Source organism: Homo sapiens, chromosome 16, assembly GCF_000001405.40.
Source record: "Homo sapiens chromosome 16, GRCh38.p14 Primary Assembly".
NCBI lineage: Eukaryota > Metazoa > Chordata > Mammalia > Primates > Hominidae > Homo > Homo sapiens.
This window is the reverse complement of record NC_000016.10, coordinates 55426578-55441254: the sequence shown is the minus strand read 5'-3', so window position 1 is coordinate 55441254 and position 14677 is coordinate 55426578. Positions and strand designations below refer to the sequence as shown.

Below are 14677 nucleotides of genomic sequence, written 5' to 3'. Positions count from 1 at the left end.
AGAGTGGGCTTTGAGAAATATCTTGATAAGTGTTAGTGCAATTTTTAAAGATGGCTAAAATGCTAATGGTGAAATTTCAGGCTTTGTGGCAGTTGGATGAAAGGAATGTTTTTGAGCAAAAGATCTTTCCAACGATCCCTCAAACCTACAATGCATAAAAGTGGACTTGTTTAGATAAGTCAGTAAATTATGCCTAATCTCAGTTTTCCTCCATGTAAAGAGGAAGAAATTAAACTAGAAGTAGAATGATCTTTAAGGTTTATTAAAGAGAGAGAGAGAGAGAGAGAGAATGGTTTGCCATGTGCAAAAAAAGGCAAGGCTCTTCCTTATAAGTAGCACAGGGATTCATTCATTCATTCATTCATTCTGTGTGTGTGTGTGTGTGAGAGAGAGATCTCTGGGCCAAACCCTATATCACAGTTCTTTCACATCATTTCACCTACCCCTTACAACAACCTTTGAGGTGGGTATTCCTAACAGGAGTGGTTGTCAATTTATTTAACTATCAATAAGCCACAGATACTTGCCAATCAGAAAGAACACTGAGTTAAACACTAGAACAGGGTCCTGGAGACCCCTGACTGTGCCAGGTATTTGTTGCTAGATGAGGAAAGAGGTGGGGAGGAGCCAGGGTGCCTGGCACAATGAAGGGGAGATTGGGAAGCTATTTGACAACTGGCCTGGGAAATGCTCTAATTTTTAAACTGCTGGTATGGATTTTGTACTATTGGATATGGCTGAACATCAGCCGTGACTTTCAATCTCCCCATTCTGCAAAGGACAAAGCTGAGGCCCTGGGAGGTCATGAAAGCTTCTCAAGATAAACCCATCAAAAAGCGACAGGCTTGAGTTGAAGGCTACTTTAAGTCTTTGAGACTCCAAAGTTGGTGTTCTTAACCATTATGCTGACTGTACACATGTCTCTAAGTTGACCTCAGTCTGTGCCAGGCTGGCCTGGCATTTCTCTACAAAGAACTGGAGGAAAGTGGATCGGAGGAAAGATCTGGTTTGAGTGGGAGTAGAGTTGGCCGATTTAGTAAGTAAAAATACAGGACACACAGTTAAGTTTGAATTTCAGATAAACAACAAATAATGCTTTTGTATATTTTTAGCTTATTGCACGGGATATATGTACACTGAAAATTATTCATTTTTAATCTGATGTTCAAATTTAACTGGACATCTTGCATTTTATCTGGCAACACTACGTGTGGAGGGAGGGTCACAGGGATGCTAAGACATTTCAAATACCAAGACACTTCAATCTGAAGAAACATTTTCTTTGCTAGGAACTCCCTTTTGCAAAGTCAATGATATCAGCTGTAGTAAGAACACTTCTAACCTTACCCTGAGTACCTCTTTGATTTTAAAGTCATAGAATGTCAAGGCAGAGGTCATTTAAGCCAATACCCTGCCTCACTGTCTTTCTGCCTCTTTCTGTCCTCTCTCTGCCCAAGAAGGCAGAACCCACAGCACCGGCGCTGTGGCTTGGCTTTGAAGCCAAGGAGCATAGCCCACGAGGCATGTCCTCATCTCCAAAGCACATGGAAACTATTCCTTTCCTGAAGGTCTTCATGGTTAGCCTGCTGCAAGTCTCATGGTTTTTCAGCTGCAGTTGTAATTTCTATAGCGCCTCCATCCCAGCTCAGCTGGTATTTATTAGAACACATTCTTTTTGAAAAGAAAACTGTTTCTTAATTAAAGGTTGGCAATCCATAGCCTGTTTGCAGATGAGAAAAATTAAGCAACTACTATGAACAGCGCAGTGTGTCTCCTCTGTTGGTTAGAACATTGCTGTCTAGACACGTGGAGTGTCTCCTGTGTTTTGGGCCGTCCCTGCATTTACATCTGAGTGCATTTTTTTTTTTTTTTGGTGTTGCACAACAAATACTAATGAACCATGAGACCAAATGGAAGAGATTTTGGAGTGAAACAAACTTGTCTTCTGTTTTAACCACTCCCTGTCACAGACTGCTTTTCAAACATAATACCTGGGCGGGGTGGGTGGGGGTTAATGAAAAATGTTTCGTGTCCAAAACCCAGCCTTACTGTCTATGCCAAAGAGTTGGTTTCTGGGGCCAAGTAGAAGCTGAGAGGAGCTGATCTTTGCCTCACCTCTGGACCAAGAATGAAATAAACTTATGAAGAATAAAAATATTCCTTTCATGGGGTGAAGATTCTTAACCTGGGTTCCATGAAATGGAAGACTTCTAAGAATTCCATGGAATTCTTAGCTTGAATGGGAAAAAAAAATGTATTTTTAAATTTTTGCTAACTTCTAACTGACAGTTAGCATTTCCTTCAATTCTGAATGTAGGCAACAACTAAAATTGTATCAGCACTACATGGGACTTTTGTGACTTCGTCATTAATAGATATCACAGATATTTTCATATCACATTATAGTTGCTACAGAGTATCTTGAAACAGACTCACTACTCTCTGGAAATTATAGTGATGAGTAGACCCACCTCTATATCTTATTATATCTTGGTTAATAAAAGCCCACATATTACTATATTAATTTAAATAATTATTTAGATAACTGTTATTTAATATAACTTTTCTTTGTAATGCTGTTTTGTAAATTTTATGCATGCAATGACATTATTCTGGAATGAGCCTTGAAGACTATGCTAAGTGAAGTAAGCCTGACTTGGGATAAATAGGATAATTAAAAAAGGACAAATACTATATGATTCCACTCACATGGGATATGTAGAGCAGTCAAGTTCATTCACAGGAAGTAGAGTGATGATTGCCCCAAGATGGGAAAGGAGGAAATAATGAGTGGTATTGTTAATGGGTGTAGACTTCCAGGTTGGGAAGATACAGTTCTGTAGATGGATATGGTGGTGGCTATACAATAATGTGAATACTTAATGTCACTGACTTGTACACTTAAAAATAGTTAAAATAATACATTTTATGTCATGTATATTTTATCACTATTTAAAAATCCACAAGAACAATGCCAATATTTTCATCTCACATTTTAAAACCCACATTATTCCATAAGGAGGTCCATAGACCTCCCCTGGAGGGTCTGTAGCACAAACCTGGCTAAGGCCTCCTGATTTTAAGGGATTGCTTTTCCTGATGCCTTGTACATCTTTCCAGTATGTTTTGCCTGGAGGAATCTTTCTGTCTCTTCAGGGGTCAGCTCAAATACCACTGTCCCTTGGCTCCTGTTCTGTTCCCAGGGCTAATGTGGGGATATAGTCTTCATATTCCTCTAAGCCTATCTCTAATATCCCAGTTGGATCTTATTGCCTGCCAAAAGCCTAAGGCCTTGAGGCCTTTCCCTCTACTTAATTAAAGGGTTATTTGGCAGGTGTAAGAAAAGCACTTAGGCAATATTATTACCAGACTGAGACTTTCTCATTGATGCAATAGGGAAACTTGCTGTGTGAGTCAGTATTACTCAATGCCTTGTCTGGGCATTGATACATATCTCGTGGTCACTTTTTCACATTTTGTGCTACATTACATAATCTTATGAAATCTACAGAACCCGGAGGTTAGTGCTATCAGGCACAGCATTTTGCAGATGAAGAACTGAGACTCAGAAAGCATAAGTCGACTTGTCTGACCCCAGAGATATTTTGCATCAAACATCTTCCAGAGTGGCAGGATTCCTTGGGAGTAGCCCAAGCTTCATTTGATGAAGATCACTCATTGGAGAATCTGTCTTTGAACCTGACAGAGGAAAACAAGGTACTAAATAAGTAAGGACTTTGGATCCTCAGAGTTGGAAGGGCCCAAACTACCTAGTTTGTCCCACCTGTTTTAGATGTGGAAACTCTTGGGTCAACACCAGAAGAGTAATAACCACCACTGTGCTCTTGACGTGGATTATCTCAATGATTCTGAAAATTTCATCACTGTGGGCTCCTTTTATAATTTTGGACATATTTGAATGTTATTGATACTATGATCTACTTAATGCTGTTCTCCCCTTTAAATGGATCTGCTTTTAAAACCTAAATCCATTTACTCACACAGAAAATTTTATACTATTTCTGTGAATAGAAAACCACTAACCATAAAAATTATTCCAATAAAAAAGAAAATATGTATTAAGTTCTACCTAGACACTGTTGCCTGCAGTGGGACTCTGAGCCTGAAGTCTTCACTCCCTTTGTTAAAACACAGAGAACAAAACAACAAAAATAATTAGTACTTGTTAGGCATTAAAGACACAATAGCATCAACTGGAGACTTTCTTGACGTAATTAGAAGAATTCAAAGAGAGCTAAAAAGGACCTAATACACTTACTGTTTGAGTCAGTGCTATTTAATGCCTTGTCTGTGCATTATTTCAAATCATTTTCAATACCACCCGTGGTCTCTGCACCTCTGGAAACACCCCATTATCTTAGCTCATCCTCGCAATAATCCTATGAGGTAAGTACTAGCACTAGGACTAGTTAGTACTGCCCCATTTGTTGGATGCACAGCCAGTCAGGCACCCCTGCTCTCTCTGTCTCCAGGGTGCCTGACCACAGTGATATTCTGTTCTGTGTTGCAACTACCCATAAAAAGAGCCTTTGGCAGCATCTTGTGGGTCCCCATAAATCTTGCAGGTCCAGATGTCCATCCAGGAATAAACTCCACTGCATGGAGCCCCATGGTGAGACGGACTGCAGGCTTGCAGCCCCACACCTATGCACCGGCAACGTGCCCCCAGGAACACAGGACCAACTCCAAATTTGGGAATGAAGATAATGTTCAGGGGAACACAGGACCAACTCCAAATTTGGGAATGAAGATAATGTTCAGGTAGGAAAGGAGGAGTGCACAGGAGAGGAAGGAAGTGAAAGCAAGTGGTGGAGAGGACAAGGGGAGCCTCAGGGTCCTCATTTGGAAAATGGGGCAAGAAGACCTGCTTCACAGGATGGTTGATTGTTGGGAGGATTTGAACACATAGCAGGTGATTCACTCTCCCTCTCCCCTCCCTCCTCTCTCCTCTGGCCCATGTCTGTCCCCCTCCCCTCCTCTCCGCTCCTCTTCTTTCCTCTCCTCACCTCCCCTCTCTTCTCCTCCCCTCCCTTCCCCTCTTCCCTTCTCTCATCCCCTCTTCTCCCCTTCCCTCACCCCCATCATACAAACTCACAGACACACATATGTATTGACGTAGTTTTAAAAGTGAAAATAGGGAATTTGTAGCCAAGGTCTGCTCTGACATGACAATAAATGGGATGAGGGAGGCAAGAGAGCCCGGAGAGACAGAGTCCCCTTGAGCTTCAGGGAAAGCTTCCCAGGAGCTGGAGAAAGGGGTCCCTCAAGAGCTATCATCTGACATTGACCGGGAGGTCCCTCAAGGCCAAACAGGCTCTAATGGTAGTTCCACCATTGGAACCTCACGCCTTTGAGGTAAGCATTGCTCTCTCTTCTGCAGTTTCTGTAAAGAAATGCAAGAGCTGGCACACAAAGCAGAAATGCACATTTCAAGCACTTTCTTTCAACAGAAGCCTTGGGAAAAGAGGGGACCATGAGAAATGGAAGGAAAAGGGGAAAGGACAGGACTCAGCCAAGGTAGATGCTTCTCATTCACACATGGGCTCCAGGGTTCTGAGGCTTCACATAAGCCTAAGACTGGGAGAGGAGGTGGCCCAAGCCTGCAGAAGGACATGATTTCTGTGGCGTGTGGCTGTATATCAGTTTCCTCCACACCAGCCTCTTATCTCCTGTAGGCAGAAAGGCGAGGCTGATGGGAAGGCCAGATTATACCCCTGACTGGGCCTGCTTCTCATCGCTGTTAAACCACTTCCTTGGACTCCTTTGAGCTCGGCACATCTGGCAACCCGGTGGGCTTTTTCTTGAGGACCAGGGAAAACACAAACCCAGACTTGTGTGGGTGTGTATGATCCGTAAATACTCCCAACGTGCTGATGGAAGTTCCAACTTGTTCTGTGTCCCCAAACAAGCTCGTCCCCTCCCTGGGCCTCGGTTTCCTGAACTGCAAAATTGTGGCAGGGAGACAAGGCTAGCTGATGTCTAAGAACTCTTCTTGTCTTGAAATTAAAACATTAATAATAATAGAGGCACTGCTTTCACCTCCAGGGGTGATAACCAGGGAATGCACAGAGAAATATTTGCGGATATTCTTGCATACTGAAACCCAGTTTCTGCAGAGCCAAATACCTACGTATTCAGAAAAATCCAACTAAATGGCAGATTATCCATTATCAGCCTAAGAGATGGAGTCTTGCCGACTTAAGGGCCATATTTATTTGCTCAGAGTTAATGTGCTTAATCTGAACCTATACATTAGTGTTCAGGCACTGGTGGCCTTGTTTCTTTTGCACTGTACCATGTTTTTAGAAATTAGAAATTGAGCAAACAGGCCAGACATGGTGGCTCATGCCTATAATCTCAGTGCTTTGGGAGGCCAAGGTAGGTAAATCACCTGAGGTTAGGAGTTTGAGACAATCCTGGTCAACATGGTGAAACCCCATCTCTACTAAAAATACAAAAATTAGCCAGACATGGTGGTGGACGCCTGTAATCCCAGCTACTTGGGAGGCTGAGGCAGGAGAATCGCTTGAACCTGGGAGGGAGAGGTTGCAGTGAGCTGAGGTGCAGTGAGTGCAGTGAGCCACTACACTCCAGCCTGGGTGGCCGGGGTTGGGGGGCAGGGGCGGAATGAGCAAACATTTTAATAACAGAAGACTTCCTATGAAAGTTTCAATATCCAACATTTCTAGAAAAGCCTGCGGATCTCATGACAGTCAGCTGGAGCCGAGGAGAGGGTGTGCCTGTTTGTCATGGGCACAGTCTTCTCTTCCCAGTCCCACTAGATGACATTATTCTCTCTCGTCACCTGCCTGCCCAGGTGTTTGAGTTTGAGACTATGCATTAACAGAAAATGGTTGCTGAAGGCAGAAAAGAAGATGCCCCTGTTGGAAATGTTGCCCTTCCAGGTGAATGATGCAGAAACACCCATGTGCCTGCTCTGCCCTAGAACAGTCAACCTTCCTGCTCTTCTTGGCCATGAACAAGGCCTGACACGTGGCTGCCCGAACTTTTTGGACAACTGGCTGCCCTCCTTCTCAGACAGGAGTGTCAGCCAGCGAGGGCTGGGGCCCATATGCTTCCCAGAAATGTCCCAATCTCCCATTTGATTGGGCTTTCCTGCTGGATCTCTGTACCACCTACTGCCAACTGGTGGCTTTTCCTTTTCTTCTGCCACAGGCCTTTTACCAATGTGTGAAATTGCTTTCTCTTTCTTTCTGCGGGTGGATCTCCATGTTTGGTGAAAGGGTTCTGCTGAGTTGGGGTGGAGGCTTTTGCAAAAGTGATTTTTTCAAAAGGCTTTTCCCTCTCTGACTTTCAAGACCCTACCTACCTGCCTCATTTTCCTTCTCCTCTCCTATCTCTAGCCTGCTGTGTGTCAGCATGGGGGAGGCGGGGGACAGCAGGGGACAACAGAAAGGGAAGGTTTCCAGAGAAGGGAATACTTGGCATGGCTGTGGTTCTATGGCTAAAAATGGCAGGAAAGTCATGCGAAGATGAGAAAAGAGCCTGTAGCAGGCCACAGAGCTAGGAAGTTGCCAGGCATGTGAAGGGAGCATGTGGTGAGTAGAAATATAGTGTGCCCGTGAGTGTAGTTTTCAGGGGAGTGTTGGCAAAAGGATGGTGATGGTGAGGAAGGATAGGCGGGGCCCAGAGTCCGAATGCCATGCTACACTGCTGGCTTTGATCTGAGGTCAGTGGGAGCCATTGTAAATTTAAGCCAGAGAGCAACATAGTCAGATCTGAGTTTTGGAAAGAGCAATGGATTGACTGGAGGAGAGACAAGAGACAGGAGGAGCAGAGAGAAAACAACAGCAAGAGTCCATGCAGGAGACAAAAGTCTGCATTGGCAGAGGCATGGCTCGGGGGGCCAGCAAGTCAGCACCATGAGAGAGACCCTTCCCTGGGTCACATATGCAGGGAGAGGAAAAGGGTAGAGCTAGAGACAGCACCAAAATGTGTAACCTGGGCTCCTGGACGACGGTGACTCCAGTAAGACAGAGGAGGGAAAAACAGCTCTGGGAAAAGTCCAAAGTCCAACGAGTCTGGTTTTACACTTAGATAAGTACAGGTTGAGTATCCCTTATCTAAAATGCTTGAGACCAGAAATGCTTTGAATTTCAGTCTTTTTTGGATTTTGGAATATTTGCATTAGGCTTACCAGTTGAGCATCCTAAATCCAAAAATTTGAAATCTGAAATACTCCGATGAGCATTTCCATTGAGCATCAGGTCAGTGCTCAAAAAACTTCTGATTTTGGATGTTCGGATTTGGGATGCTCACCCTGTAATTAATATGTGAGACAAAGATGGTTTGGGGGGTTGTAGGATCAGTTTGCTCACTCTTCAATTTATGGGACTATATGCATGTTTTTCAAACTTATAAAAGATTCATGTTGTATTGGTCTACAGAGCACTTTGGAATCAAGGAAAAGTCATTTTCTTTCTTCCTTTGCTGCCTTGGAGATTCACATTCAGCCTTCAAGCCCTGGTTGAAATGTCATCTCTTCCAGGCAGAACTACCAGCCTTCCCCGTGTGCTCCCTGTTCTTATTTCACAGCTGTTCTTACCCTGTGGACCTAGAGTTCACAGTCCAGCATCTCCCTCACTCAATGATAAGCATATTGATTTAATCTTTAAACCCCCCATCTGGCACAGTGTTTAATATATAGAAGTTGTTGCTAAAAGTTGAAGAATGAATAAATAATATTTTTCATATCCTTTTTACAGCTTTAGATTCATGGCACAGAGAAACCCCAGAGCTTGTCCTAGATCACTCAGTGATCTTAGAGTAGATTCCTAAGACTTCTTCTCTAGCTTGGTCATTTCCAGAAGACTTCACACTCAGGTTTTCCAAAGCATGTATTTATCCCATGCAGTTACTTATAAATTAGAGCCCCCTTGGAAATTCAATGATTTCACAACTAAATCTAAATTTCATTTCTTTTTTTTTTTTTTTTTTGAGATGGAGTCTTGCTCTGTCGCCCAGGCTGAAGTGCAGTGGTGCAATCTCGGCTCACTGCAAGCTCTGCCTCCCGGGTTCATGCCATTCTCCTACCTCAGCCTCCTGAGTAGCTGGGACTATAGGCGCCCGCCACCACACCTGGCTAATTTTTTGTATTTTTGTGGAGATGGGGTTTCACCATGTTAACCAGGATGGTCTTGATCTCCTGACCTCGTGATCTGCCCGCCTTGGCCTCCCAAAGTGCTGGGATTACAGACGTGAGCCACAGCGCCTGGCTCAACTAAATCTAAATTTCTTATTTCTTTTGATAAGTCAGGAAATCTGGAGACATTGGACAGGCTCCTCTTCCCAATTAGCCACACTCCCCACCATGCCCCAAGACTTCCCCAATACCAGGGGATGTGTTGTTATGTAATACCATGCTTGCACTGTTGCTTTTTTCTTATATAGAGGACCACAGTTGTATGGCTGTGGCTTTAACAGACATGGAAGCAAAATGAACCTAGAATTAGACTCATGTTTGGAGAAGAATGAGAAGGAACACATTTTTTGGTGGAAGTGACAATTATTCCTATGTGCTATCTTTAAGGTACAAAGGACTCCTTACTTCACTCATTTTCACATGCACTCTCTTTGCTGTAACTCCTGTGACCAAGTCCCCAGGCATTGAGACTCATCCCATAGAGAAGCAGTAGGGCACAGGGGTTAGGAGCATGGCCCTTCTGGGTTTTCTTTGGCTAAGTTAGCTTGGGTAAAGTTAGCAAGTTTTGTTGGGCTGGGGTTAAGCTCCTTAACTTCTCTTTCCTTCAGTGTCCTCATCTTCAAAAGGGGGTGATGATGATAATAACACCTATCTTGTAGGTGATTGTGAAGATGGAATGAAACAAGAAATGTAAAGAGTGAATGAAGCCGGGCACAGTGGCTCATGCCTATAATCCCAGCACTTTGGGAGGCTGAGGCAGGTGGATCACTTGAGGTCAGGAGTTTGAGACCAGCCTGGCCAACATGGCGAAACCCCATCTCTATTAAAAATACAAAAATTAGCCAGGCGTGGTGGTGCGCACCTGTAATCCCAGCTATTGGAAGGCTGAGACATGAGCATCACTTGAACCTGGGAGGCGGAGGTTGCATTGAGCCGAGATCTGGCCACTGTTCTCCAGCATGGGAGACAGAACGAGACTTCATTTAAAAAAAAAAAAGTGAATGATATTACCTGACACCTGGTAAGGAGGCAGAGGACAGGAGTATTTTTGTCATTATGGTGAGTGACAACATACCAACTCACTCATTAGTTAATTTATTTGGTAAGTGAAGATCGACTTAGTGACTAAGAAGGTTGATGCCTTTGAAAAGTGCCAAATCAAAAAATTTGAAGGTTTCTTGGTCCATGTCAGTGGTTCTCAATCCTGGAAGTGGATGGGAATAATCTTTGTTGCTCTCCCCAGATACTAGTCTGGGGACCCACCAAAGAGCAATTACACCAGACCCTCCAGGGACAGGATTTGTGGCCCCCAGAATGATGACAACTATGCCAGGTTACGGTCAGGATGGGAAACTCGTCTCAAGTCAGGTCAAGGTCATGCGCAGTCCTGAGACCAGGTGCCTCCTTACATTACACACCCTCAGTGCCTCATTTACCTGCCCTGGTCCCTGTCTTGCCTCAAACCACTAAAACAGAAACTCCATGAGGGCAGAGACTTTTTCCCTATTTTTCTTTCACTACTATCCCAGTGCCTGGAACAGCAGTGCACATATAATATGCTCTTGATAAATACTTATTGAGAGAATGAATAAATGGATACATGAATAGGCCCATCTTCCAAAGGTTCGGATTGCAGTCACCTCTTTGCTAGAGACTGCTGGATTTGCTCTACATAAACCAGAAGAGTGGAGTCCTAGACTTCAGATGCTCAGTGTTTCCAGAAGAGACCTTCAAGGTCAGCTGGGACAATTTCTTTTTTTTTTTTTCCAAACCATCTCTCATCATCATGATATTTTCCTTGTCTGCATCCCACTTGAGCTGTTATTTCCTTAATGGTGGCTTTACATCAATTCGTGCTTACTTAGAAACATCTGTCTGACAAAGAAACCCTAAAAAGATCAGTTCTGCCAAGGAAAAACTATCACTTGCCATACATAGAAAGGCAACTGTGAAATTAAGTACAAAGGAAATAAATCAAGTTATGAAATGGAGTTGGATGCTGATGCCTGCTGAGGATGTGAGCCTGGGCCTTCCCCTCTTATCATTATGAAGAGAGGGTTGAAAACATTGCAGAGGTGTTAAAGAGATGTTAGCATTGGATTGAGACTTTCTCTTAGAGGGAGTCAGAGGCTAGAAAGAGTCCAGAAGTGATACCTTTCTCTCTCTGAGTTAGTACTGTTTAATACCATGTCTTTGCATGTCACCCAAACCCATCCATGTGCTGCCCAACCATCAGTGGTATTCATCCCACTGGAGAAATCCATAGTTAGTCCCAGCTCCTTATTTTGTAAGACTTAGGTCCAAAGAGGCCCAAGTTCATATTCATTTATTCATTCATGCATTTGTTTGACATATATCAAACACCTCCTATATGCCTGGCACTGTGAACTAGACAGGCTAAGTCCCAGCTATTTTGGAGCTACCAACCCAGGGTCAGAGGAGGGGCTATACCTTTGGTCCCAGACCCCTAGTGCAGTGCTCCTTCTCTGCCCCTTCTCAGAAGGTGTTTTTGTAATCCCCATCTACACCCTACCCTCATGGGTGACTTGGGCACTTAGTGTTGCATTAACATCGTTTCCTTTTAATAAAGCAGCTACATTTTCACCCCATCCCGGGCTCCATGTTCCTGCTGCACACACATCAAGAATGCTGCTAATTTCAGCGTCTGCCTTCCAGACCCAGACGTCAAAACAACTACCTTTCATCTCAGGTTTGTAACACAGAAAACCTTCAATATTGGGAACAGATAACCTCGAAGGTGGGTTCATATCTCTCAGCACGATTGCTGTAACTTAACTCTGCTGCACCCGATCAAGGCTTTCTCTCTGCCTCATAGGTATTTTAATACAAATGTTCCTTTCATTTGGCTGATTGAAGGTCTCCAACCTGCAATAAATGAAACATCTGATCCCCTTGAATCCAAATAACTTTTTCTTTGATTTTCTTTTACTTCTATTTCTTCGTCCTTTGTTCTACAGCCCGAGTCAAATTTCCCTTTAGAAATTGAAAGAATGTGTGTGGGTTTTTCCTGCTTTTTTTTTTTTTTTAACCAAGCTCTAGTGCAACCGCTGGTTCATGGACTAGAATATTAAGATCCAATTCAATGGCAGACTGTCTCCAGCAATGTTGTATTTTTATTTTTTTTTGCCGTCATCCCCCCCACCCACTTGTGAGCAATGGTTGTACAAATTAGCCTCTGTGTACTAGTCACCGAAGCTGGCTTCCCAATTAACCCCAGGCTTGAGAGAAAATAAGACTAAAGATTCTTCCCCTCCTGAAAGAACTAAGTTATCCATGCACAAAAGCCTACATGTTGGCACCTGGCTATGGAGTTGGGCATTTAATTGCCTTTGTAATGACTCAGTCCATCTGCATGGTATTGGGTCCCCAGTTTCAGGTAATGGGCCAGAGGGGTCTTATTAGTCTCTGGAATGACCAGGCCATGTGTATTCATCACTTCGAAAGGCAAGCAGGGTCTGTGAGAAGCTGGTGAAGCTCTTTGTGTGTTCACATCTCTGATTGTGCCCTGTGTCCACACTTAGCCAGGACACCTACCCACTTAGTGGTCTTGGCTTTGTTTCTAGGGTGAGGGCTTGAGCTGTGGGTAACAGTGCTGATTATTACATGCTAGTAAGATTGTCTCCCTCTTTGAAGTGGTAGAAAGGTTTGTCCCTTCAGGGTGATTGGGTGAATATCAGAAAGCAACCACAGGAACATTTTGTTGTACTTTGCTAAGGTCTAAATATTTGTCTCCTCCCACCAAAAATTAGTGGTTGAAACCTCATCCCCAGTGTGATGAAATGAGGAGGTGAGGCCTTTGGGAGGTGACGAGGTCTTGAAGGCAGAGCCTTTATGGATGGGATTAGTACCCATATAAAAGAGACCTCAGGGAGCTTGTTCACCCCTTCTGTCATGTTGAGTACTCAGCAAGAAGATGCCATCTATGAGGAATGGACCCCCACCAGACACCCAATCTGCCAGTAACTTGATCTTGGACTTCCCAGCCTCCAGAACTGTGAGGAATCAGTTTCTGCTATTTATGAGTTACCCAGTCTATGGCATTTTGCTATGGCAGCCCAAATAGACTGAGACATACTCCTTAACCTTTGACCCACTTCTGTTTAGGCCCAGCCAGCCTTCCTGAGCCTGTGCATAGTCTTCCTGGCTCAAGGAACTCTCTCTACCGAGGTGTGATCTCCTAACTCCTGGCACTCATTTACCTATCCATGGTTGGTAGTCAGCCTCCAAGATGCCTGCAGTCATCCCTGCCTCCTGGGATTCATATCCTCCTCCACATTGTGCCAGGATTGGGCTCTGTGGCCAAAAAGAAAACAGCAGATGAGAGGACGTGTCTCTTCTCAGAAGGGTTAGAAAAGACTGTGGCTTCCATTTTAGATGACTTTCTCTCTCTCTCTCTCTCTCTCTCTCTCTCTCTCTCTCTCTCTCCTCTTTTCCTTCTTCTCTTCCTTGGATCTCTTGCTCTGAGGAAAGCAAACTACTATGTTGTGAGCAGCCCAATGGAGAGGCCCACAAGACAACGAACTGAAGCCTCCAGCAACAACCCTGTGAGGTCAGTTTGGAAGTGGATTTTCTAGCCCCAATTGAGCTTAAGATGACTTCAGCTTCAGCAGACAGCTTGACTGCAGCCTTTCTAGAGAGCAAGCACCACCCAGCTCTGCTGCTTCTAGACCCCTGACCTCAGAAATTGCACGAGATAACATGTTTGCTGTTTCAGGCTGCCAAATTTAGGGGTAAGCTGTTATGTAGCAATAAATACCAGCACACCATGTGAGCTCGTCTCTCGAGGGACTCTCTGAGGCTCCTGATGTTCCTGGTTGGCTCCCTCAATCTATGTGCTTGTTGTCCCTTAATATGTATTTTCAGTTCTTCCTTCATAAGAAACACCCTTAGCTTTTAAGTGGATCCTTGGCTGCCTGGAATAAACACTACATTGCCCCAGGTTTTTTGGCAGTTAAATGTGATCATGTGACTTAACCGTATTCTAGTCAATGGGCATATGTGGAAGTGGTGTGTGCAACTTCTGGAGAGCACCCTTACTAGGCGGATGCACCTTTCTTTCCACTTTCCTCCTTCCTGCAGGCTGGAACTGCCCATAAAGGCTGGCACCCCAGCAGCCACCTTGAGAAATGCAGTGATGATGCTGAGTGGCAAGGCAGAAGGCACAGGGTCCCTGCACCTGAGGATTGCTGCTCCAAACCTGGGCCACCAGCCTGAAGATCCCGCCAGGGAGAAATAAAGCTCTGTTTTGCTGAAGCCACTGCTATTTTGGGGGTCTCATCTCTTCCAGCTGATTCTAACCTGAAATTGAACCTTAATTCAATCTGGCTGATCCATGAACAACCATCACGCCTTGTGCTCTGTGTCAGATAGGTTTCTTAAGGGAGAATGTCACTTACTGACAGTGATTTGTCAACACCAAAGAGGAAAAAATATCAGAGAAAGGTAAGAGGGAGAACAATAGAGAGAGAAAGA

At 44.1% G+C, this 14677-nt stretch overlaps 1 long non-coding RNA gene across 1 annotated transcript in view; it reads left to right on the top strand.

Annotated features, from left to right (window-relative positions):
* The window catches only part of MMP2-AS1 (MMP2 antisense RNA 1), a 35501-nt gene extending 21043 nt beyond the window's left edge, over positions 1-14458 (top strand). Inside the window, exons 5-7 of the long non-coding RNA NR_147198.1 lie at positions 11775-11894; positions 13671-13754; positions 14285-14458. This is a non-coding gene — a long non-coding RNA (MMP2 antisense RNA 1). The remainder of the gene's footprint in view (positions 1-11774; positions 11895-13670; positions 13755-14284) is intronic.
* The last annotated feature ends 219 nt before the right edge of the window (positions 14459-14677 follow it).